The following is a 24,009-nucleotide window of genomic DNA, read 5'->3' on the forward strand; positions in this document are numbered from 1 at the left end:
CCTCAAGCAATCCACCTGCCTCGGCCTCCCAAAGTGCAGGAATTACAGGCGTAAGCCACTGCTCCCAGCCTCGAAAAGCTAGTTCTTTAACTTTCTCAGTCTGCCCAAGGGGCAAATCTACTGGCTTCCCAAGGAGTCTGGAGAGGCCTCTGATGCCTCTAAGGGCACCTCTCCAAGTTGCCAGCGATGCTAATAGAGTCAGGACCCCGGGGAATTGTCAATGAGTGCAATGGAAGCAGCAATGGTAGGCTAGGGTTCAGCACCTAGTAATGTGAACCCACAAACCTGGGGTTCTCAGCAGAACACTCTGAGGCTGGGCCTCTCTAGGCCCTCCGTTAAATGACCCATCCTGGGTGTGTCTATGGGACTGCATGGCTCACAGAGGAGATCAAGTGCTGGCCCCACTTCTAGATTTACTCGGGGCTAAGAAAAGTTCAGAGTCACTCTCTCCTCCTATCAGCAGGGTAGGTATCTTATAGATTTATCATCAAGTCTCTCTCCAGCATCCCCATTCTTATCCAGGGGAGCTGCTCTCTGATCCTCTGGTCCCAGTGGTGGCCCCCTGGCAGCTGCAATGGCCTAGGAAGCTACTATACCTCAGCACTCCCACCATCTCCACTGAAAGACACCCCGTGCCCAATAGGCACCTCCAGCTACAGCAAATAAACACATTCAAAGTAAACAATGGGGGCCAAGTGCGGTGGCTCATGCCTGTAAATCCCAGCACTTTGGGAGGCCGAGGTGCCTGAGGTCAGGAGTCCCAGACCAGCCTGGCCAACATGGCGAAACCCTGTCTCTACTAAAAACACAAAAATTAGCGGGCATGGTGGTACATGCCTGTAATCCCAGCTACTCGGGAGGCTGAAGCAGGAGAATCGTTTGAACGTGGGAGGTGGAGGTTGCAGTGAGTAGCATCACTGCACTGCAGTCTGGGTGACAGAGCTAGACTCTGTCTCAAAAAAAAAAAAAAAAAAGTAAACCATGGGGGACTACAGAAATGCAGCCTCTGGACAAATCCTTGAGCTCCAGCTTCCAACTGGATTGCATCCCAAGTTGCTCTAAAGTAGAAATGCTTTTGTTGCCATTGCTGCAATCAGACCACTCTTTTCAAAATAAAAATCTGATCATACATCCTTGCTTCCTCACACATCCAGCTTGAAACCTCTTGATGCTATTAGGACACGACAAAAATCCTTAGTTACCACCACCTCCCTCTCCAGCCTCAGCCCACACCATGTCCCAACCTCATCTTTCTGCTCCAGACTCAGAGACTTCCTTCAGCCCTCATCCTTCCCTTTCCCATCCTGCCATGTCCTAGGACTCTCACACTTGCTCTGCCCATGGTCCACATGGTCTTCCCTCCCTTCGTGGCCCAGTTAACTCATACTCCTCTTTTAGCAATCAGACGAAGCAACACTTCCTCAGGGAAACCCTGCGTGAATGACCTCAGAGCCCACCAGTAGCCAAGCATTATTTTTTGTGCCCTAGCTTTGTACCTGGATTATTACAAGCCTCTGAGAGCATGTAACTTGAACCACTCCCCCGCCCCCAACTTCCTATTCTCCACCATACTGGACAGTGCAATAGGAATATAAGAAATATTTATTTCCTTTCGGTTTTTTTGTTTGTTTGTTTTGAGCTGGAGTCTTGCTCTGTTGTCCAGGGTGGAGTGCAGTGGCACATTCTCGGCTCACTGCAACTTCTGCTTCCCAGGCTCAGGCAATTCTCCTGCCATAGCCTCCCAAGTAGCTAGGACTACAGGCATGTGCCACCACACCCAGCTAATTTTGTATTTTTAGTACAGATGGAGTTTCACCATGTTGACCATGCTGGTCTCGAACTCCTGACCTCAGGTGATCCACCCGCCTCAGTCTCCCAAAGTGCTGGGATTACAGGCGTGAGCCACCGCGGCCGGCCCTCAACAAATATATAGGCGTGAGCCACCGCAGCCAGCCCACAACAAATATTTCTTGAACTGAAAAAAAAAATAATACAGCAGAGTAACAGGGAACTCTCATATACTGCTGGTGGGAGTATAAATTGGCACTACCACTTTGGAAGGCAGTTTGACCACATCTAGTAATGCTGGGGATGATTATACCCTATAACCCAGAACATAGCTTGTAGGTATATGCCTCAGAGTAACTCTCCCATGTGTCCACAAAGAGATTTGTACAGAATGTTCATAACAGCACTGTTACCAAGGGCAAAAACCAGAAACAACTAAATGGCCATTGTATTAGTCAGGATCCTTGCAGGAAATAGTTGGCATTCTCAAATTAGGATGATTTTAAAAAGGGTTTAAAAAGGGATTACTTGGTGGGGGTTGGGTGGACGAAACCTACAAGGGAGTGTGGTAACCCAAGGTTAGAAAAGCAGAACCACTGCCACTCCCACGCCTCAAAGGAGGAAATGGTTACTCAAATCCAGAACTAGAGAGAATGAGGAGAAAAGCTGTCCTGAGAAAAGGAGCGACCTTGACCTTCAGGGGTGGGGAGGAAGACAGCCAGGCGAGGCAACCCCACAGAGTAAACTGCAAGAATAAATACAGCTGCCTTTTGCTTCTCTCCCTGCTCTGATTTCTTCTCAGGGCTCCCCACTGGCTGAGCCCAAAGGAAAACCAAAAGGCAAGGAGCCCACCGATGTAGCTCACGGAGGGCAAACCCCTGGGGCATGGTGGGGAAGGGAGAAAGGTTTGGAGAGGCAAAGGGAAGATATTCAGCATATACATCAACAGAATGTATAAGGTATATAATCATCCAATGGAATGTTGCCCAGCAAGAAAAGAGCAAAATCTTCATGTTGGACAAAAAAGACAAGGTCCATTAAAATACAGTCGTCCCAGGCCGGGCGCGGTGGCTCAGGTCTGTAATCCCAGCACTTTAGGAGGCTGAGGACGGCGGATCACCTGATGTTGTGAGTTCGAGACCAGCCTGGCCAACATGGAGAAACCCCATCTCTACTAAAAATACAAAATTAGCCGGGCGTGGTGGTGCGTGCCTATAGTTCCAGCTACTCCAGAGGCTGAGGCAGGAGAATCGCTTGAACCCGGGAGGCGGAGGTTACAGTGAGCCAAGATCGTGCCACTGCACTCCAGCCTGGGCAATAAAGCAAGACTCCGCCTTAAATGAATAAATAAGGTTTTACCATAGAATTACCGGAGAAACCTACTTTAGATAAGGTAGCAGGTAAAGTCTCTGAGGAAGTGAATGAACTTTAAAATGAGGTGTGACGGTTGAGAGAGCCAGGCTCACCAACCCTGCTAAAGAAGCAGAAAACAGCAAGCGCCAAGACCCTCAGGGAAAGAACGGCCTTGGCCCTTTTAAATGCAGTTCAAACAAGGGCAACAACAAAACCTGTTGCAGAACTGGGCAAGAGAGAGAATGACAACCCTGAAGGAAGTGGACACAAGCCTGATCATATAGGGCATTTAGGGTGACTTCCCTGGGGGTATAAAGCTGGTGAGAGCCTGGGAGGCGATCTGGCTGCAGGCAGCAAAAAGCCACAGAGGGGAATCAACAAACCAGAAACAAACCTCCCTCTTTACTTAGCACCTAGCATGCGTCCAACACCGGGTTACAAAAATACTTTTGATCTGTTTACGCTTCCAACAACCCTATGAGGCAGGTATTATCAAACCCATTTTTAAGGCAAAGCAGATAATCTAAATCCAAAATCCAAGCACTTCACTACGACTCTCGAATGCCCTCCCTCTCTACTGCTCTGATGGGGCAGTGTTACCATTTCGGTGAATGACTTAAATAAACGTCATTATGGAGTACAGAATACATAACGGTGAACAACCTTAATAAAACCGACACCCTCTAACATGCACCGAACGCTTATCCAGTAACACCCACAAGTATTCCCGTTTCACAGATGTGGAAGCTGAGGCCAAGATGCTAATGCACAGCTTGGAAACCAGGTCTCGCTGCAGAGTCCAAGCTGTCATTAACTATGCTTTGCTACCCTCCTCTTACTTCCCTTCTCTGGGGGAAGTTAGGTCAAGGCCAAGGAGGCTCCTAGACCAGATCGCTCTCTCGGCCTCGCCTCTCAACTGCGCCCCTGGAATCCCTAAGAGCAGGCTTTGATGCAGCTATGGCGGCTCCCAGGCCCCGGTGCAGCCCCGGATGGTGTCCGACTGGCGGAGCGCACACCTGAACAAAAGGTTCCCCCGGCGGAAGGTTCCGCAGCCCCAGAGTCCCCTCCCCGGGTGAGGGGCGGGCAGTACCTGCGGGAAACGCGGCCAGGGTCCTGCCCCTGGCTCTGTGGAAAACACCCCCCGCCTCTGCAGCCGACATGGCGAGCGAGTTTCTGGCCTTCACTTAGAACACTGCGTGGGTGGAAGCCGCGCGACTTCACACAGAACAACCGCTGGACCTGTCCCGCTTTGGGCGACGCCCTTTGATCTCGGGGCGGGACTGGGGCGGGACGGGGAGGGGCCCGGTGGCTCGGGGCGCCACTAGTGCTGCCTGGGCGGAGCGGAGGCGCCAGCGGCCCCTCTGGGATCGACCTGCGCGCCTGGCGAGTGGAGACTGTCTAGGGCACGCGTGGGCGGGGATAAGGCTTTGGGGTCAGTCCTTCCCTAAAGGCAGAGTTACTAGATTTAACAAGTAAAAATGCAGGACTCCCGGTTAAATTGGAATTTCAGATTTTTTTTTTTAAAGAATGACTGACTTGGTATAAATATGTCCTATGCAGTATTTGGGAGCTACTTACGTTAAATTTTTTTTTCATTATCTGAAATTCCAATTGAACTGGGCGTCCTAATTTTTTTAAATTTTTCTCTTTTTGCAGGTTTGAATGGAAGCGTCCTGATTTTTTTTTATCTGACAACTCTATCATAAAGTCAGAAGGAGCCACTGGGGTGGCTTACGCCTGTAACCCCAGCTCTTTGGGAGGCCAAGGAGGGAGGATCGCTTGAGTCCAGGTGTTGGAGACCAGCCTGGGCAACACGGCGAGAGACCTTGCCAATACAAAAAAAAAAAAAAAAAAGATGAAAAGGTGGACGTCTTGGAAGACTGTCTCAGCCTGAACTTCCCAGTGGCTGCCACCATCTTTCTGTTATTATCTTTGCTTGCTATGCACCAGGCAGGGCGCTAAGCACTTTGCACGCTGCTCACTTAATCCCCACTACAGCCCTAGGAGGTGGTGCTGTTATTAGCTGCATCCGTCATTTGGGGAAACTGACGCTCAGAGAGATGAACGAACTTGCACAAGGTGACACACATCTAGAGAGGTAGTAAAGCTGCGAGTAACCAAATTAGTGTCTCTTCAACTCAAGAGCCATTGTAGTGAACTACTTAGCCAGCATTTGTCAAACGTGTTGAAAATACAAATTCCAGAATGGACCTATTGAATCCAAATCTCTATGAAAATGATCTGTGTTTTGTTGTTGTTGTTGTTGTTTTGAGACAGGGTCTCACTCTGGTTGCCTAGGCTGGAGTGCAGTGGCACAATCTCTGCAGTCTCGATCTCCTGGGCTCAGGTGATTCTCCCACCTCAGCCTCCTAAGTGGCTGGCACTATTGGCGTGCGCCACCATGCCTGGCTAATACTTTGTATTTTTAGTAGAGACGAGTTTGACTATGTTGCCCAGGCTGATCTGGAACTCCTGAGCTCAAGCAATCCACCCACCCGGGCCTCCTAGAGTGCTAGGATTACAGGCATGAGCCACAGTGCCTGGCCTGAAAATGATCTGTTTTTAACAAGCACTGCAGGGGAGCTCTTATGATCTTACAAATTTGGGAAATTCTTTTCTAAACTAGCTGCCTACATCCAAAGCACTGTTTGAGTAGCTAATATGGCCATAACTACTGTTCTCTAATCCTTGACAAGAGTCACCCATGAATCATAGTGGTTAAGAGTATAAATGCCTATGAGTCCTGGAGTCAGTGGGCTTGGATTAATCCCGGTTCTACCCACTTACTGGTTGTATGCTCTTGAAAATTGCATAGTTTCTCTATGCCTCAGTTTCCCTATCTGTGAAATGGAAACAATAGTAGCATCTAGGTCATAGGGTTGCAGAAAGGCTTAAATGAGTTCATGTATCAAAGTGCTTAGAATAATAGTTCTAATAACAAATGGTAGGTACTCAATGAATATTAGCCATTGTTATTATTAATCAATCACTATAACCCTATTCCCTGAACATGGCCTGGCCCAGAGGAGGAGTCCCAAGAAATGTGAAGGAGGCCGGGCGCAATGGTTCAGGCCTGTAATGCCAGCACTTTGGGAGGTGGAGGTGGCGGATCATGAGGTCTACAGATCGGGACCACCCTCGCCAACATGGTGAAACCTCATCTCAACTAAAAATACAAAAATTAGCTGGGTGTGGTGGTGCACGCCTGTAGTCCCAGCTACTCGGGATGCTAAGGCAGGAGAATCACTTGAACCCGAGAGGCAGAGGTTGCAGTGAGCCGAGATCCCGCCGCTGCACTCCAGCCTGAGCGACAGAGTGAGACTGTGTCTTTAAAAAAAAAAAATGTGAAGGGGAAGCTGAGCACAATGGCTCATGCTTGTAATCCCAGCATTTTGGGAGGTTTAGGCAGGAGGATTACTTGAGCCCAGGAGTTCAAGACCAGCCTGAGCAACATAGTGAGAACTCATCTCTATTAAAAAATTTTTTTTAATTAAAAGAAATGTGAAGGAGAGAATGAATTATAGAAACAGACCCTGCCTCTTATTCACTAGCTTTGCAGTCATACTGGCCATTCAGTTCATTAAACATGCAAATTAATTTCCCTCTCTGCATATGCAGTTCTTTCTGCTTAAAATGCCTCTTCCCAGCTGGGCACCGTGGCTCATGCCTATAATCCCAGCATTTTGGGAGGCCAAGGCAGGTGGATCACGAGGTCAAGAGATCAAGACCATCCTGGCCAACATGGTAAAACCCTGTCTCTACTAAAAATACAAAAATTAGCCAGATGTGGTGGCGCGTGCCTTTAATCCCAGCTACTCGGGAGGCTGAGGCAGGAGAATTGCTTGAACCCGGGAGGCGGAGGTTGCAGTGAGCTGAGATCGCGCCACTGCACTCCAGCCTGGTGAAAGAGCAAGACTCTGTCTGAAAAACGAACAAACAAACAAAAAAGTATCTTCCCCTGCTGAGCTAAAGCCCATTTGAACATGAAGGCCTGCAGTTAAATAACACTTCTGTGGAGAGGCCATGCCCTACCCATTTGCACACTTTGCTGATCTAAACTAGGCCTCCCTCATTCTTTGTTAGAGCACTATGTTCTTGTCCCTTGTTGCACTTTGCACAGTTGATAATTATATGTTTTCAGGTGTAATTATTTATTTAATGTTGACTTTCCCGACTCAACTATAAGGTCTATTAAGTTGGTTACCTTTTTAAAAAATTTACTGTTTTGGCCGGGCACAGTGTCTCACGCCTGTAATCCCAGCACTTTGGGAGGCCAAGGCAGGCAGATCATTTGAGGTCAGGAGATCGAGACCAGTCTGGCCAACATGGTGAAACCCCATCTGTACTGAAAATATAAAAATTAGGTAGGCATGGGAGCACGCCTGTAATCCCAGCTACTTGGGAGGCTAAGGCAGGAGAATCACTTGAACCTGGGAGGCGGAGGTTGCAGTGGGCCAAGATCGTGCCACTGCACTCTAGCCTGAGTGACGAAGTGAGACTCTGTCTCAAAAAAAAAATTATTATTTATAAAGATGGTGTCTCACTGTTATCCAGGCTGGTCTTGAACTCCTGGCCTCAAGTGATCCTCCTGCCTCAGCCTCCCAAAGTGTTAGGATTACAAGCATGAGCCGCCACGCCCAGCTGAGGGCAGTTACCTTGACTGTCTAGCTCACCAAGCAGGATGCCTGAGGCATAGACACTAAATGTTTGTTGCATTAATAAATAAATGGATTATGAATATCTCAACAAGATAACCATATTTTGAACCTCAGCAGCAATTGGGAATAGATCTATAGGCCAATCTGGAGCAACTTCAAAACTGTACCAGTGCATTGGATGATAGCAATAGCTGCAATTGTGAAAGGAAAATAAATATTGAGACCCCAAAATCACTAAGCCAAGGGGAAAAGTCAGGCTGGGAGCTGCTTAGGGCAAACCTGCCTCCCACTCTATTGCTGAAACAGACAGCTACTAAGGCTGGGTACAGTGGCTTACACCTGTTATCCCAGCACTTTGGGAGGCCGAGGCAGGAGGATCACTTGAGGTCAGGAGTTTGAGACCAGCCTGGCCAACATGGTGAGACATCCATCTGTACTAAAAATACAAAAACTAGCCAGTTGTAGTGGTGCATGCCTATAATCCCAGCTACTCGGGAGGTTGAGGCAGGAGAATCGCTTCAAACCACAAGACGGAGGTTGCAGTGAGCTGAGATTGTGCCACTGCGCTCCAGCCTGGGTGACAGAAGGAAACTGTCTCAAAAAAAAAAAAAAAAAAACCTACTAAGATAAAAAAGCTACGTACGTCGCTCAGAAGGAATTTCCTTGTAGACAAAGGACAGACAGAACTCAAAGTTATCCCTCTGCTCACTGAGATAAATGCATTTCTGACTGCCTCCTCTGGAAAAGCTAATCAGAAACTGGAAAGAATGCAACCTTTTTTTTTTTTTATTCCCCCGAGACAGAGTCTTGCTGTGTTGCCCAGGCTGGAGTGCAGTGGCATGATCTCTGCTCACTGCAACCTCTGCCTCCCAGGTTCAAGCGATTCTCCTCCCTCAGTCTCCTAGGTAGCTGGGGTTACAGGCATCTGCCACCACGCCCAGCTAATTTTTGTATTTTTAGTAGAGACGGGGTTTTGCCGTGTTGGCCAGGCTGGTCTTGAACTCCTGACCTCAGGTGATCTGCCCGCCTCAGTCTCCCAAAGTCCTGGGATTACAGGCATGAGCCACCGTGCCCAGCCACCTTTTGTCTCTTATCTACCTGTGACCTGGAAGCCCCCTCCCCACTTCGGGTTGTCTCGCCTTTCCAGACGGAACCAATGTACATCTTACATATATTGATTGATGTCTCATGCCTCCCTAGAATGTATAAAACCAAGCTGTGCCCCGACCACCTTGGCACGTGTCATCAGGACCTCCCAAGGCTATGTCATGGGTGCACATCCTTAACTTTGGCAAAGTAAACTTCCTAAATTGTCTGAGAACTGTCTCAGACATTTGGGGTTCACACTTTTTTTCTTTTTTGAGACAGAGTTTTGCTCTTGTCGCCCAGGCTGGAGTGCAGTGGTGTGATCTTGGCTCACTGCAACCTTTGCCTCCGGGGTTCAAGTGATTCTCCTGCCTAAGCCTCCCAAGTAGCTGGGATTACAGGTGCATGCCACCATGCTAGGCTAATTTTGTAGTTTTAGTAGAGACAGAGTTTTACCATGTTGGTCAGGCCGGTCTTCAACTGCTGACCTCAAGTGGTCCACCTGCCTCGGCCTCCCAAAGTGCTGGGATTACAGGCGTGAGCCACCATGCCCAGCCTGGTCTTGCCAGAGGCATTTGAACCAGAGAGACTCCATCTTGAATAGGGGATGGGTAAAATAAGGCTGAGACCTGCTGTGCTGCATTCCCAAGAGGTTACGCATTCTAAGTCACAGGATGGACCTTAGGAGGTCGGCATAAGATACAGTCGTAAAGACCTTGCTAGGCTGGGCGCGGTGGGTCATGCCTATAATCCCAGCACTTTGGGAGGCCAAGGCAGGCGGATCACCTGAGATCAGGAGTTTGAGACTAGCCTGGCCAACGTGGAGAAACCCCATCTCTATGAAAAATATAAAAATTAGCCAGGTGTGGTAGCAGGTGCCTGTAATCCCAGCTACTTGAGAGGCTGAGGCAGGAGAAGCACTTGAACCCGGGAGGTGGAGGTTGCAGTGAGCCGAGATCATGCCACTGCACTCCAGCCTGGGTGACAGAGCAAGACTCCATCTCAAAAAAACAAAACAAAACAAAACAAAGACCTTGCTGATAAAACAGGTTACAGTAAAGAAGCCAGCCAAAATGAAGATGGCAATGACAGCAAACCTCTGGACATCCTCGCTGCTCATTATACACTAATTATAATGCATTAGCATGCTAAGAGATACCCCACAAGCACCGTGACAGTTTACAAATGTCATGGCAACATCAGGAAGTTATCCTATATGGTCTAAAAAGGGGAGCTCTCATTTCCAGGAATTCCCCACCTCTTTCCTGGAAAACTCATGAATAATCCACCCCTTGTTTAGCATACAATCAAGAAATAACCATAAAAATGTGCAACCAGCAACCCTCAGGGCTGCTCTGCCGATAGAGTAGCCATTCTTTTATTCCTTTACTTTCTTAATAAACTTGCTTTCACTTTACTGTATGGACTTGCCCCAAATTCTTCCTTGTGTGAGATCCAAGAACCCTCCCTTGGCGTCTGGATAGAGACCCCTTTCCAGTAACAGTCTTATGGCCCCCACCCAGGCACTGACTTTGTGCAAAGATGACAACTTCCCCATGATTTCATTTCTTCTATTTTTATTTTATTTTATTATTATTTTTCTGAGACGGAGTTTAGCTCCATCACCCGGGCTGTAGTGCAGCGGTGCGATCTCGGCTCACTGCAAGCTCTGCCTCCCGAGTTCACGCCATTCTCCTGCCTCAGCCTCCCGAGTAGCTGGGACTACAGGTGCCTGCCACCACGCCTGGCTAATTTTTTGTATTTTTAGTAGAGATGGGGTTTCACCATGTTAGCCAGGATGGTCTTGATCTCCTGACCTCATGATCTGCCTGCCTCTGCTTCCCAAAGTGCTGGGATTAGAGGCGTGAGCCACAGCGCCTGGCCTCCCCATGATTTCATTTCTGACCTAACCAATCAGCACTCCCGACTCACAGGTCCACTAACCACCAAATTATCCTTAAAAAACCTGATCCCCAAATTCACAAGGAGACTGATTTGAGTAATAAAATTCTGGTCTCCGGTACAGCCAGCTCTGAGGGAATTAAACTTTCTCTATTGCAATTCCCCTGTCTTGATAAATTGGCTCTGCCCAGGCAGCAGACAAGGAGAACTTGTTGGACAGTTACATCCTCTGCCCTTTATAATTTTGGCTTTATCATCACTCTCTACAGAGAAGACTTCCTCCCAATCACTTGGAAGCTCCAGGCTCCTCCTTCATGGGAGCGGAATGGCTACAGCAGTTCTAGACCACATTCTCATGAGACACCACCCAGTGAGGTGAGGAAGGAAGTGTCTTTTATTTCCTCTGAATCCTCCAGCAAACATCCCCTGCATCACTGCAATGCCAGTTTAAAACCAAAGTTAGAAGGATAGATGGCATATTTAAACTGGCTGCAGTCATGAGGCCCACCCTAAAGAAGGCATGGTGTCAATTTCACCCTAGTTACATGCCTAAGAGTGGGGAGCACAATTCTCTTAAAATGAAATCTTGACGCCATTGTCCTAAGAAAGGAAGAACCAATTGTTAAAAAGAGCCAATAGGTAATCCATTACATAACCCGTGCAGGAGTGAATGTTGAGGTGGGGGTGGGGGAGTCACAAAGGCCAATGACTACCATCCCCGCTCTCCACCCTTTAAAAAAACTGCCCTTTTTCTTCCCTCCCACTTCTTGTAACAGCTATACTTGTAAAAAGCCCTAATCTACGTGGTGGCTCACGCCTGTAATCCCAGCATTTTGGGAGGCCGAGGCAAGTGGATCACAAGGTCAAGAGATTGAGACCATCCTGGCCAACATGGTGAAACCCCATCTCTACTAAAAATACAAAAATTATCTGGGTGTGTTGGTACGTGCCTGTAGTCCCAGACACTTGGGAGGATGAGGCAGGAGAATCACTTGAACCTGGGAGGAGGAGGTTGCAGTGAGCTGACATTGTGCCATTGCACTCCAGCTCGGCAACAAAGCGAGACTCTGTCAAAAAAAAAAAAAAAAAAAAAAGCTCTAATCTAAATGTGCTGTTATTTAGAGTCCTAGATATAAGATTAAGAACATCATTTTCTGTACTGGGCTGTAGAATAGCCTCACTTCTTGAAGCAGGCAGAACAATTTGTCCTAACACTCAAGGACTCTGGGCTGCTGAGCTTTTATAGTTCTTCTGTCCACTTTTTATAGATCTTCTGTCTCCTTGCTCCCAGCCTGTGGGCAGTCACTCCTTGCTTTTTGTTGCATCTGTCTCTTGCAAGTCCTGTCTGTCTCCTTCCCTTGTTTCTCATCTGCCCCAGTTTGTGAAGCTGGATGACAAAGCTTGTTAAAACTATGAGCCAGGTTGGTTTATGGATTGGAGCCAGTAGGCTTGGCATAAGAGCGTAAGGCCGCATTTAGAGAGAAGCACTTGGGCCTTGCTTTGATGGGTATTGTCATTCCTGGTTAGGCTGTGTGATGGTTAATTTTATGTGTCGACTTGGCTGGGCCACAATGCTCAGATATTTGGTCAAACATTATTCTGAATGTTGCCATTGTTAATGGTGGAGGGTGTCCAGGTTCTTGGCATCTTGAACAAAGAATTGGACAAAATGCACAAACAAGGAAAGAATGAAGCAACAAAAGCAGAGATTTATTGAAAATGAAAGTACACTCCACAGGGTGGGAGTGGGCCTGAGCATACGGGCTCAAGAGCCCAGTTACAGAATTTTCTGGGGTTTAAATACCTTTTAGAGGTTTCCACTGATTACTTTGTGTATGCCCTATGTAAATGAAGAGGCTAAAGTGAAGTTACAAAGTTACTTACTTGGCATACACCCTATGTAAATGAAGAAGATGAAGTAAAGTTACAGAGTCATTTACTAGCTGTATGGTGTATGCCCTATGTAAATGAAGAGGATATTTCCTGTTATAGCTGAAGTGTTTCCATTTGATTTAGTTCTAGGAAGTCCTTAGATTCCCTGCCTCCAGGCCCTCTTCTCCTGCCTCACCATGGAAATGTTTTTTTGGGTTTTTTTTTTTTTTTTTTTGAGATGGAGTCTCGCTCTGTTGCCCAGGCTGGCGTGCAATGTCACGATCTCAGCTCACTGCAACCTCCGCCCTCCAGGTTCAAGTGATTCTTCTGCCTCAGCCTCCCAAGTAGCTGGGATTACAGGTGCCTGCCACCACACCTGGCTAATTTTTGTATTTTTAGTAGAGATGGGGTTTCAACATGTTGGCCAGGCTTGTCTCGAATTCCTGACCTCAAGTGATACGCCCACCTTGGCCTCCCAAAGCGCTGGGATTACAGGCGTGAGCCACCGCACCTGGCCTAGGGGTGTTTACATATTACATTACTACAGTTACATTTGGACTTGGAGTGCAACAGATTGCCCTCCATAATGTGGGTGGGCTGCATCCAGTCAGTTGAAGGTCTGGATGAACAAAACACTGACCTTCTCTAAGCAAGAGAAAATTCACCCAGCAGACCTCTTTGGACATGAACCACAGCATCAGCTCTTCCTGGTCCCAGCCGTCTGGACCACCTTGCAGATTTTGCACTTGCCAATCTCTCTCTCTAGACAATCTATACACAGTCATGCATCACTTAACGGCAGGAATAAGTTCTGAGAAACATGTCATTAGGCAATTTCATCATTGTGTGAATATCATAGAGTGTGCTTACACAGACTTAGATGATCTTGCCTACTATGCACCTAGGTGGTGTGGTATAGCCTATGGCTCCTAGGCTATGCACCTGCACACCATGCTTCTGTGCTGAATACTGTAGGCAGGTGTAACATAATGATAAGTATTTGTGTATCTAAACACATCAAAACATAGAAAAGGTAAAGTAAAAACACAGTGTTATAATATTATGGGACTACCATCATATGTGAATATATGTGTTAGGTTGTTGACCAAAATACCATGCAGCATGTGACTGTATATACAGTCTTGGGACCCCAAAATCACTAAGGCAAAGGGAAAAGTCAGGCTGGGAACAGCATCAGGCAAAACTGCCTCCCATTTTATTCCTAAATAAGATAGCTACAAAAATAAAAACATTACATACCTCCCTCACAATTTGCCCACAAGGAAATTCCTTGTGGACAAAGGACAGATATAACTCAGTCATCCCTCTGCTCATATGAGATAAATGCATATCTGACTGCTTCCTCTGCCGCTTTCTTCCTTCCTTCCTTTTTTTTTTTTTTGTTTTAGATGGAATCTCCCTCTGTTGCCCAGGCTGGAGTGCAATGGCGCAATCTCGGCTCACTGCAACCTCTGCCTCCCAGCTCCCAGGTTCAAGGGATTCTCCTGCCTCAGCCTCCCAAGTAGCTGAGATCACAGGCATGTCCCACCACGCCTGGCTAATTTTGTACTTTTAGTAGAGACGGGGTTTCACCATGTTGGTCAGGCTGGTTTTGAACTCCTGACCTGAAGTGATCCACCCAACTTGGCTTCCCAAAGTGTTGGGATTACAGGTGTGAGCCACCACGCTGGGCTTTTTCAAGTGATTCTCCTGCCTCAGCCTCCCAAGTGACAAGGGGGCTGGGCATGGTGGTTCACATCTGGGATCCCAGCATTTTGGGAGGCCAAGGGAGAGGATCATGTCAACCCAGGAGTTCGAGGCCAGCCTGGGCAACATAGCAAGACCCCATATCTACAAAAAATACAAAAATTAGCTGGGCATGGTGGCACATGCCTGTAGTTCCAGCTACTCTGGAGGCTGAGGGGAGGGCATCATCTGAGCCCAGAAAGTCAAGGCTGCAGTGAGTCGTGATGAGGCTACTGCCCTCCAGCCTGGGAGACAGAGTGAGGCTCTGTCTCAAAAAAAAAAAATTATTTTGTGTATCTGAAATACCAATTTAATTGAGCATTCATATTGTATCTGGCACCCGTAGGCTAGTATCTACCATATTGGACAGCACACATGTGGAACATTCCCATCGATGCAGAATTTCTATTGGACAATGCTGATTCAGAACATTCATGAATAACCTGTAGCCAGTGAATCTTTCCTGTTGCTTCGGTTCTTCTGTCCGATGGCCTACCTCTGGCATGTGGGACAGAACAGCCGTAAGTATGCTCACCTTCTCAAATGCAGTTCTCAGCCTTGGAAGCAGATAGTACTAATTGTTCCAACTATTTTTCATCCAGAAACTTGAGTTTAACTTACCATTTAGGCTTTCTTTTCTACCTCCCCTATATTGCTTAACACTCCCTTGTAAATTACTTTCTGGATGATAGTGGAGCTTACTGTTAACTTTTTTCTTCTTCTCCTTTTTTTTTTTTTTTTTTTTTTTTAAGACAGAGTTTCGCACTTGTTGCCCAGGCTGGATGCAGTGGCACGATCTCGGCTCACTGCAGCTTCCGCCTCCCAGGTTCAAACGATTCTCCTGCATCAGCATCCCAAGTAGCCAGGATTACAGGCACCCACCACCACGCCTGGCTAATTTTTTGTATTCTTAGTAAAGACGGGGTCTCATCATGTTGGCCAGGCTGCTCTCAAATTCCTGACCTCAGGTAATCCACCCGCCTCGGCCTCCCAAAGTGCTGGGATTATAGGCATGAGCCACCGTGCCAGGCCAACTTTCTAATCTTCATTTTTTTTTCATCTGAATAATGAACCCAGCCTCCTGAAGCATTTAAATATTTTGCAATTGTTCTCTTGGGTTGTGAAATGAACTTTTCCCCCTTTTTCAACAAGAATAAGAATATTCCTGAAAGCTCCACTCCACTGAACTCAATTGTGCATTGACCGTACAACTTAAGCTCTTTGCAGAGGTATGAGCTCCCCAAGGCTTATGTATCCATTAGAATACACCAAGTGTCCAGAACAGGACCTGACACATAGGAAGCCCTTAATGAATACAAAGCCCTTAATAAAAAGACCCTAATCAAAGTGGAATTTGCTTCTCGGTTAAACTTACTAATGTTGAGAATCCCAAGGGCAGATTCCAAATTCCATTTAGTTTCTCCATGAATCTTGGTATTGGATGAGTTTACAATGAATAACAACAACAGAATTTTACATACTTCAACCCCCACCTCTTGCCTTGCTGTTTGTCATATATTCTTGCAAAGTAACTGTAGTCTGTTCTGGCCCTCTCAGGATGACATTTTTGTCACTGGGGGCCAGGGCAAAATTGAAAGCCACCAGTTTTGTCGGAAAACACTGTTGATACATGCAACCCTTTCTGCGTTTCATTTTCTTTCTCTATCTTCCCCCTGCTGGGCACTGTTTGATTGAAACCAAATCCTGTGTTTGCTAACATCATAACTGTGCTTTGTTTCCTAAGAGAAGGAACACATGTCTGAATCTGTCAGCTCTTACTGGTTTTTATCTTCCCAAAGCACTAGCTTGGTTTTTTATTGAGCATTTAATATTCTGGACTATAAGGTCTGTACGCAGAGGCACTCCAACAACAGGATTCTGGATTTTCTCTCTTGGGACTCTGAACATATTAGTCTCAATTAGTGGTTCTCAACCCGGGCTGCACATTAGAACCGCTTGGGGAGCTTTTGAAGCATATTCGTTCCAAGACTTCACCCTGGGAATTTCTGATTGGATGAGTTTTGGATGAGACCTCAGCATTGCTCTTTCAATGTCCCAGGTGATCCTAATATGAAGCTAGGGTGAAGAACTGCTTGTCCACACTCTAAAATAAGCCAACTGGCTGGGCGCAGTGGCTCATGCCTGTAATCCCAGCACTTTGGGAGGCCGAGGCGGGTGGATCACTTGAGGTCAGGAGTTCGAGATTAACCTGGACAATATGCTGAAGCCCTGTCTCTACTAAAAATACAAAAAAAAAAAAAAAAAAAAAAAATTAGCCAGGCGTGGTGGCGCATACCTGTAATCCCAGGTATTTGGGAGGCTAAAGCAGGAGACTCACTTGAACCTGGGAGGTGGAGCTTCCAGTAAGCTGAGATCATGCCACTGCACTCCAGCCTGGGTGATAGAGTAAGACTCTGTCTCAAAAAAAAAAAAAAAAAAAAAAAGAATAAAATAAAATAAGCCAAGCACCTGAGTCAAGTGAATGGCAAGTGAACAATACAGCCTATTGCTGCTGGTGTGAGGAGACAAATGCAATACACTGCTGAGTCACTGGGCACTGGGATACATACCTTTTCATACAGAGTCCTATTTAAGCTTCACCACAGTCTTGAAATTTTATGCATAGGATTGAATGATTGAAGAGTGTCTTCAGAAAATTCATGTCCATCTAGAACCTGTGAATTTGATCTTAATTGTAAGACAGGTCTTTGCAGATGTAATCAAGTTAATACTCATACTGGATTGGAGTGGGCCCTAAATCCAATGACTGATATCTTCTAAAAAAAATTTTTGGCCAGGCACGGTGGCTCATGCCTGTAATCCCAGCACTTTGGGAGGCTGAGGTGGGTAGATCACTTGAGGTCAGGAGACCAGCCTGGCCAACATGGTGAAATTCCTTCCTTACTAAAAATACAAAAATTAGCCAGGCGTGGTGGCAGGTGCTTGTAATCTCAGCTACTCAGGAGGCTGAGGCTGGAGAATTGCTTGAACCCAGGAGGAAGTGGTTGCAGTGAGCCGAGATTGCATCATTGCACTCCAGCCTGGGCAACAAGAGTGAAATTCCATCTTAAAAAAACAAACAACAACAAAAAAATTATAGAGTGTTCCTTCTCTTGTTTCCTAAGAAAAGGAACACATGTCTGAATCTGTCAAGTCTTGCTGGTTTTTATCTTCCCAAAGCACTAGCTTGTTTTTTTTTAGATTTTGTTTGTTTGTTTGAGATGGAGTCTTGCTCTGTCACTCAGGCTGGAGTGTAATCTCAATGGTGTAATCTCAGCTCGCTGCAACCTCTACCTCCTGGGTTCAAGCAGTTCTCCCTGCCTCAGCCTTCCGAGTAGCTGGGATTACAGGCACCTGCCACCATGCTTAGCTAATTTTCTTTCTTTTTTTTTTTTTTGTATTTTTAGTAGAGATGGGGTTTTGCCATTTTGGCCAGGCTGGTCTCAAACTCCAGACCTCAAGTGATCCACCCACCTCGGCCTCCCAAAGTGCTGGGATTACAGACGTGAGCCACCAGGCTTGGCCTAGCCTGTTTTTTTTTTTTTTTTTTTTTTAATTGAGGATATAATATTCTGGAGAAATAAGGTCTGTAGCTAGAGGCACTCCAACATCAGGATTCTGGATTTTCTCTCTTCAGACTCTGAGCATATTAGTCTCAATTAGTGGTTCTTAATCCTGGCTGCACATTACAATTTCCTGGGGAGCTTTTCAAGCATATTCGTCCTAAGACTTCACTCTGGGAGTTTCTGATTGGATGTCATGTTGCCCAGCTGGTCTTTAACTCCTCGGCTCAAGTGATCCTCTTGCCTAGGCCTCCCAAAGTGCTGGGATTACAGGCATGAGCCACCGTGCCTGGGCTGATGTCTTTTAAGAAGAGAAGAGGACACACAGAGAAAGCAATGTGAAGACAACCACAGAGATTAGAGTGTGTGGCTAGGATGCATCTATAAGACAAGGAATATCAAGGATAACAGAAAACACCAGAATCTAGGGCCCAGCATGACGGCTCACGCCTGTAATCCCAGCACTTTGGGAAGCTGTGGTGGGAGAATTGCAGCCTGGGCAACATAACGAGAACCTGTCTCTGCAATAAAATTTTAAAAATTACCTGAGTGTGATGGTGTGCACTTGTGGTCCTAGCTACTCAGGAGGCTGAGGCGGGAGAATTGCTTGAGCTTAGGAGGCAGAGGTAGCAGTGAGCTGAGATCACACCACTGCACTCTAGCCTAGACAACAGAGCAAGACCATTAAAAAAACAAAACTGGTTGGGCGTCGTGGCTCACACCTTTAATCGCAGCACTTTGGGAGGCTGAGGTGGGTGGATCACCTGAGGTCAGGAGTCCAAGACCAGGCTGACCAACATGGAAAAGCCCTGTCTCTACTAAAAATACAAAATTAGCTGGGCATGGTGGTACAAGCCTGTAGACCCAGCTACTTGAGAGGCTGAGGCAGGAGAATTGCTTGAACCGGGGAGGCAGAGGTTGCAATGAGCCGAGATTACACCACTGCAATCCAGCCTGGGCAACAAGAGTGAAACTCCCATCTCAAAAACAAAACAAAACAAAACAAAACAAAACACCAGAAACTAGGAAGAGGCAAGACAAGGAAGGATTCTCCCCTGGAGCCTTTAGAGGAAGTATGGCACCACCAATACCTTGATCACAGACTCCTGGCCTCCAGATATGAGAGTGAGTCTATTTCTGCTATCTTAAGTCACCCAGTTTGTGGTACTGTATAATGGCAGCCATGGGAAACTAATACAGATTGTTATTGTTGCCATTTGATGGATGAGAAATCTGAGGCAGCGTGAAGGATGCAAAGAAGTTAGACGTGGGTCCCACCACCAGGGCTGTGGGAAGGCATCACACGTAGATTGAGAGCTTGGAGGCCACAGAACTGGGTAGCATCTCAGCCCCACCACTGGCCATATAACCTTGAATAAGTCCCCTAGTCTTTCTCAACCACAGTGTCTTCATCTTCAAAATGAAATACTTCATAGAGTTTTGGGGGAAATGAAATAAGAAACTGCAGGAAAACACACATTGACCTGCACGTGGTTAGCTCTCAAAAATGGTACCTGGGCCAGGCACAGTGGCTCACGCCTGCAATCCCAGCACTTTGGGAGGTGGAGGCAGGCAGATCACTTGAGGTCAGGAGTTTGAGACCAGCCTGGCCAACATGGTGAAACCCTGTCTCAACAAAAAATACAAAAATTAGCCAGGCATGGTGGTGCGTTCCTGTAATCCCAGCTGCTGCTAGGGAGGCTGATGCAGGAGAATTGCTTGAACCCTGGAGAGGGAGGCTGCAGTGAGCTAAGATCGCGCCACTGCACTCCAACCTGGGCAACAGAGCGAGACTCTGTCTCATAAAAAAAGTAACTGTTATTATTATCAGCATTAAACATTAATTTACATCAATAATTAATTTATTAATTAAATTAATTTATATTAATTAAAATAAGTTAATTTATATTAAATGTTAAATACATTATTTAACCTGTATGAAATAGATGAAACTGGCCAGGATGCTTTCAAGAGGGGGAGGAATCAGAATTTACTTCTGATCTTGTGCTCTGCCTTCATCCCCTTAATGTGGCTCAATTGCGATCTTTGGTCAACAAAGTCAACTGGCGGAAAGGGAGGAGGGTCTTGCGCGCCCCCTGGAGGTGAGAGTGGGTAACAGACTGTGCGAGGAGGGAAGGGAAGAGAATACATCCCTGGGTGGTTAATGGGGCCAGATGGTGGAGAACCTTGAGTACTAGTGTATTAGTCCATTTTCATGCGGCTAATAAAGACATACCCAAGACTGGGTAATTTACAAAGGGAAGAGGTTTAATGGACTCACAGTTCCACATGGCTGGGGAGGCCTCACAATCATGGTGGAAGGCAAAGGAAGAGCAAAGGGATATCTTACGTGGTGGCGGGCAAGAGAGCGTGTGCGGGGGAACTCCCATTTATAAAACCATCAGATCTCATGAGACTTATTCACTACCACGAGAACACTATGGGGGAAACCGCCTCTATGATTCAATTATCTCCACCTCTCCCTGCCCTTGACACGTGGGGACTGTTCCAATTCAAAATGAGATTTGGGTGGGGACACAGCAAAACCGTATCAGCTAGGTAGAGGAGCTGTTTTAAGACAGACAAACCATGGTTGTGGTTGAAAGGAACTGAGCATGAGGAGAGCAACTGAGCCCTGAAGTGGCTAAATGTAAGGGTCTGGAAGTCGGAATGAAGAAGAAATGAAGGGAGGGATGCAATGAGAAAGACAGCAAGACAGAAATCACAGGCTTGGGTTTCTAGCCTGAGAAAATCGAGAAAAAATGATTCTGCTCTTAGAAATGGGATACTGGGAAAAGTCAATTTTATCTTAAAAAAAAGAAGAGAAAGAAAGAAAAAGAGTCTGGGCGCCATGGCTTATGCCTGTAGTCCTAGCATTTTGGGAGGCCAAAGCAGGTGGATCACCTGAGGTCAGGAGTTTGAGACCAGTCTGGCCAACATGGAGAAACCCCATTTCTACTAAAAATACAAAAATTAGCCGGGTGTGGTGGTGTGCGCCTATAATCCCAGCTACTCAGGAGGCTGAGGCAGGAGAATTGCTTGAACCTGGGAGGCGGAGGTTGCAATGAGCCAAGGTCACTCCACTGCACTCTAGCCTGGGTGACAGAGCAAGACTATGTATCAAAAAAATAATAATAAAATAAAATAAAATAAAGAAATAATGAAAAATATTTAGTTTTCTTTTTTTCCTTTCTTTTCTTCATTTTTTGAGACAGGGTATTGCTCTGTCATCCAGGCTGGAGTCCAGTGGCACAATGTCAGCTCACTGCAGCTTTGAACACCTGGGCTCAAGCAATTCTCCCACCTCAGCCTCCCAAGTAGCTGAGACTAAGGTGGGTGCCACCACACCTGCTAATTATTTTCCGTAGATACGAAGTCTTGTTATGTTGCCCAGGGTGATTTCAGACTCCTGGGCTCAAGCGATCTTTCCACCTTGGCTTCCCAAAGTGCTGGGATCACAGGCATGAGCCACTGCATCTGGCCCATGATTTAATTTTTGAACAAGCAGATTTTGAGGGATTTTGAAGTGAGAAAAGCCGAATTCTGGTTATGGCTCTGCCAAATGTGAACAATGAACCCATCACATAACCCTTCTGAGCCCAAGCCACTTGATCTTTAAAAAAAGAGGGCACTGGCTGGGCATGATGGCTCACACTGGTAATCCCAGCACATTGGGAGGTCAAGGTGGGTGGATCACTTGAGGTCAGTAGTTTGAGACCAAACTGCCCAACATAGTGAAAGCCCGTTTCTACTAAAAATACAAAAATTAGCTGGGTGTGGTGGCGCATGCCATTAGTCCCAGCTATTCGGGAGACTGAGGCATGAGAATCGCTTAAACCTGGGAGGTGGAGGTTGCAGTGAGCTGAGATTGCACCACTGCACTCCAGCCTGGGTGACAGAGTGAGACTCTATCTCAAAAAATAAAAATAAATAAATAATGGAGGCACTGCGTTAGATCAGAAGAGCAAATGGGTAGCAGATATGGTTTGTTTATTCTACACAGGGTTTTACATTTTAATTTTCTAGCAACATTTGACAATTGGGAGATGATACACAAAAGCTCAGACTTGTGCCTCCAGAAACTGGCAGAAGCTGATCCCTGTAGATAGGACATGTGGTCCCCTGTTTTTCCACAGCCCCCACCATGCCCTATTGTATTCCTGATGGTGAGGTCCAGTATCAGTTGCCATTTGCCACCTACACCCAGCCTGCTTTATATTTATGTTACCTTCCTGGCCCCCTGAGCCATTCAGTTTGAGGTCTCTGGATTAAACACTCTCTAAAGTTCCTTTCAGCTCAGTGTGTCTATAGTTCACCTCTATATCCACTGGAAATACAAGTCCAGTGAGAAATCAGAGCTAGTGGTGCAGATTTGGAAATTACATGAGTAGAGATGATAGTAAGATCTTTGTATGAGTCCATTTTCACACTACTATAAAGAGCTACCTGAGATTGGATAATTTTATGAAGAAAAGTGGTTTAATTGACTCATAGTTCTGCAGCCTGTGCAGGAGGAATGGTTGGGGAGGCCTCAGGGAACTTACAGTCATGGCGGAAGGCAAAGGGGAAGCCGGCACGTCTTCCCGTGGCAGAGCAGAAGAGCGAGAGGGTGAAGGGGAAAGTGCTACACACTTTTGAATAAACAGATCTCATGAGAACTCACTATCACAAGAATAGCAAGTGAGAAATCCGCCCCCATGATCCAATCACCTCCCACAAGGTCCCTCCTCCAACACTGGAAATCACAATTCGATGGGAGATTTGGGTGAGGACACAGAGCCAAACCATATAACCCTTGAGCTACATCATGGGTGTAAGTGTAAAAAAAAAAAAAAAAAGAAAAAAAAAGAAGAACAGAGAACTGAGGACAGAGAATATTCACCTATGGCTAAGGATGGTTAAGGTTAAGAACATGAGAAGGATGAAAGGACACAGAAAAGAAGAGTTTAGATGGAATCGTGCTAGGTAATGGAAACAAGAGAAGTCTCAAGGAGGCTGTATTAGTCCATTTTCATGCTGCTGATAAAGACATACCTGAAACTGGGCAATTTACAAAAGAAAGAGGTTTAATGTTTTTACAGTTCCACATGGCTGGGGAGGCCTTGCAATTATTGCAGAAGGTGAAAGCCATGTCTCACATGGCGGCAGACAAGAGAAGAATGAGGTAGCTTGTGCAGGGAAACTCCCATTTTTAAAACCATCAGATCTGGTGAAACTTATTCACTATCATGAGAACAGCATGGGAAAGACCCGCCTCCCGATTAGCTGGGATTACAGGCACTCACCACCACGTCTGGCTAATTTTTGTATTTTTAGAAGAGACAGGGTTTCACCATGTTGGCCAGGCTGATGTCAAACTCCTGACCTCAGGTGATCCACCTGCCTTGGCCTCCCAAAGTGTTGAGATTACAGGCAAGAGCCACTGCGCCCGGCCCTCAGCTGTGTTCCTGAGCAGTGCTGGCCACTGTCCCCAGTGCTGTGCTGTGACAACCCACCATCCAGTTGTAAACATCTCTATCACAATGTGCACAACAGCCGCAAGCACAACACAGTATGACATTCAGCCATGCAGTTCTTGACACAGATTATTAGAGCAAAAGACATTCAAAAACAAGAGAGCAAGGAGATTTGCTTTCCTGTTTTGTCCCTGCCTTATGAGAAGAAGCTGTTCTTTGGAAACAGTATGTCCTGGGTCAAGTCCATGTTAAAAATTACATGAAGCTAACACTGGCTCAAGGCTTTTAGAGTCCCAAGAACTGCAATCGTAGTGCCCCTTTCTTCGTAATGGAAATAATACCAAAATCAGGATGAGAAAGCCCAATAAAATTCTGATGTTTTTCTATCATTGGCACTTAGATGCTTATATTTTTGAAATATTGTATATCGAATTCTTTCCAATTTTTTTTTTCTCCTTATCCAACCCTTTTTTGCTGGTGGACTGTTCATGTTTTCTTGGCCATCTGAGTGTTCTGACGTTACAGTTAATGCAAAGGGTAATGTGTGAAATTGAAGGAACTTCTTTAAACCTCCACGGAAGTTTT

At 46.3% G+C, this 24,009-nt stretch overlaps 1 protein-coding gene across 2 annotated transcripts in view, besides 5 other annotated features; it reads right to left on the reverse strand.

Moving 5' to 3' along the window:
• The window catches only part of CPPED1 (calcineurin like phosphoesterase domain containing 1), a 144,089-nt gene extending 139,677 nt beyond the window's left edge, over nt 1–4,412 (reverse strand). For both annotated transcript variants that reach the window (NM_001099455.2, NM_018340.3), the window contains exon 1: nt 4,232–4,412. In NM_001099455.2, coding sequence (NP_001092925.1) covers nt 4,232–4,301 — 70 coding nt within the window. In that variant the 5' untranslated portion in view covers nt 4,302–4,412. The remainder of the gene's footprint in view (nt 1–4,231) is intronic.
• Nucleotides 2,592–2,671: an enhancer, noted in NCBI's record as "active region_10479". NCBI's record gives its function as "activates an Ori minimal core promoter by ATAC-STARR-seq in GM12878 lymphoblastoid cells {active_cell/tissue: GM12878}" and the evidence as "EXISTENCE:reporter gene assay evidence [ECO:0000049][PMID:35858748]".
• Nucleotides 3,994–4,363: an enhancer, noted in NCBI's record as "active region_10480". NCBI's record gives its function as "activates an Ori minimal core promoter by ATAC-STARR-seq in GM12878 lymphoblastoid cells {active_cell/tissue: GM12878}" and the evidence as "EXISTENCE:reporter gene assay evidence [ECO:0000049][PMID:35858748]".
• Nucleotides 4,444–4,493: a silencer, noted in NCBI's record as "silent region_7220". NCBI's record gives its function as "represses an Ori minimal core promoter by ATAC-STARR-seq in GM12878 lymphoblastoid cells {active_cell/tissue: GM12878}" and the evidence as "EXISTENCE:reporter gene assay evidence [ECO:0000049][PMID:35858748]".
• Nucleotides 17,474–17,674: a silencer, noted in NCBI's record as "peak2502 fragment used in MPRA reporter construct". NCBI's record gives its function as "represses an SCP1 promoter by STARR-seq MPRAs in K562 erythroleukemia cells {active_cell/tissue: K562}" and the evidence as "EXISTENCE:reporter gene assay evidence [ECO:0000049][PMID:32103011]".
• Nucleotides 20,060–20,139: a silencer, noted in NCBI's record as "silent region_7221". NCBI's record gives its function as "represses an Ori minimal core promoter by ATAC-STARR-seq in GM12878 lymphoblastoid cells {active_cell/tissue: GM12878}" and the evidence as "EXISTENCE:reporter gene assay evidence [ECO:0000049][PMID:35858748]".

Source organism: Homo sapiens, chromosome 16 (assembly GCF_000001405.40).
Source record: "Homo sapiens chromosome 16, GRCh38.p14 Primary Assembly".
In the NCBI taxonomy this organism is placed as follows: Eukaryota; Metazoa; Chordata; class Mammalia; order Primates; family Hominidae; genus Homo; species Homo sapiens.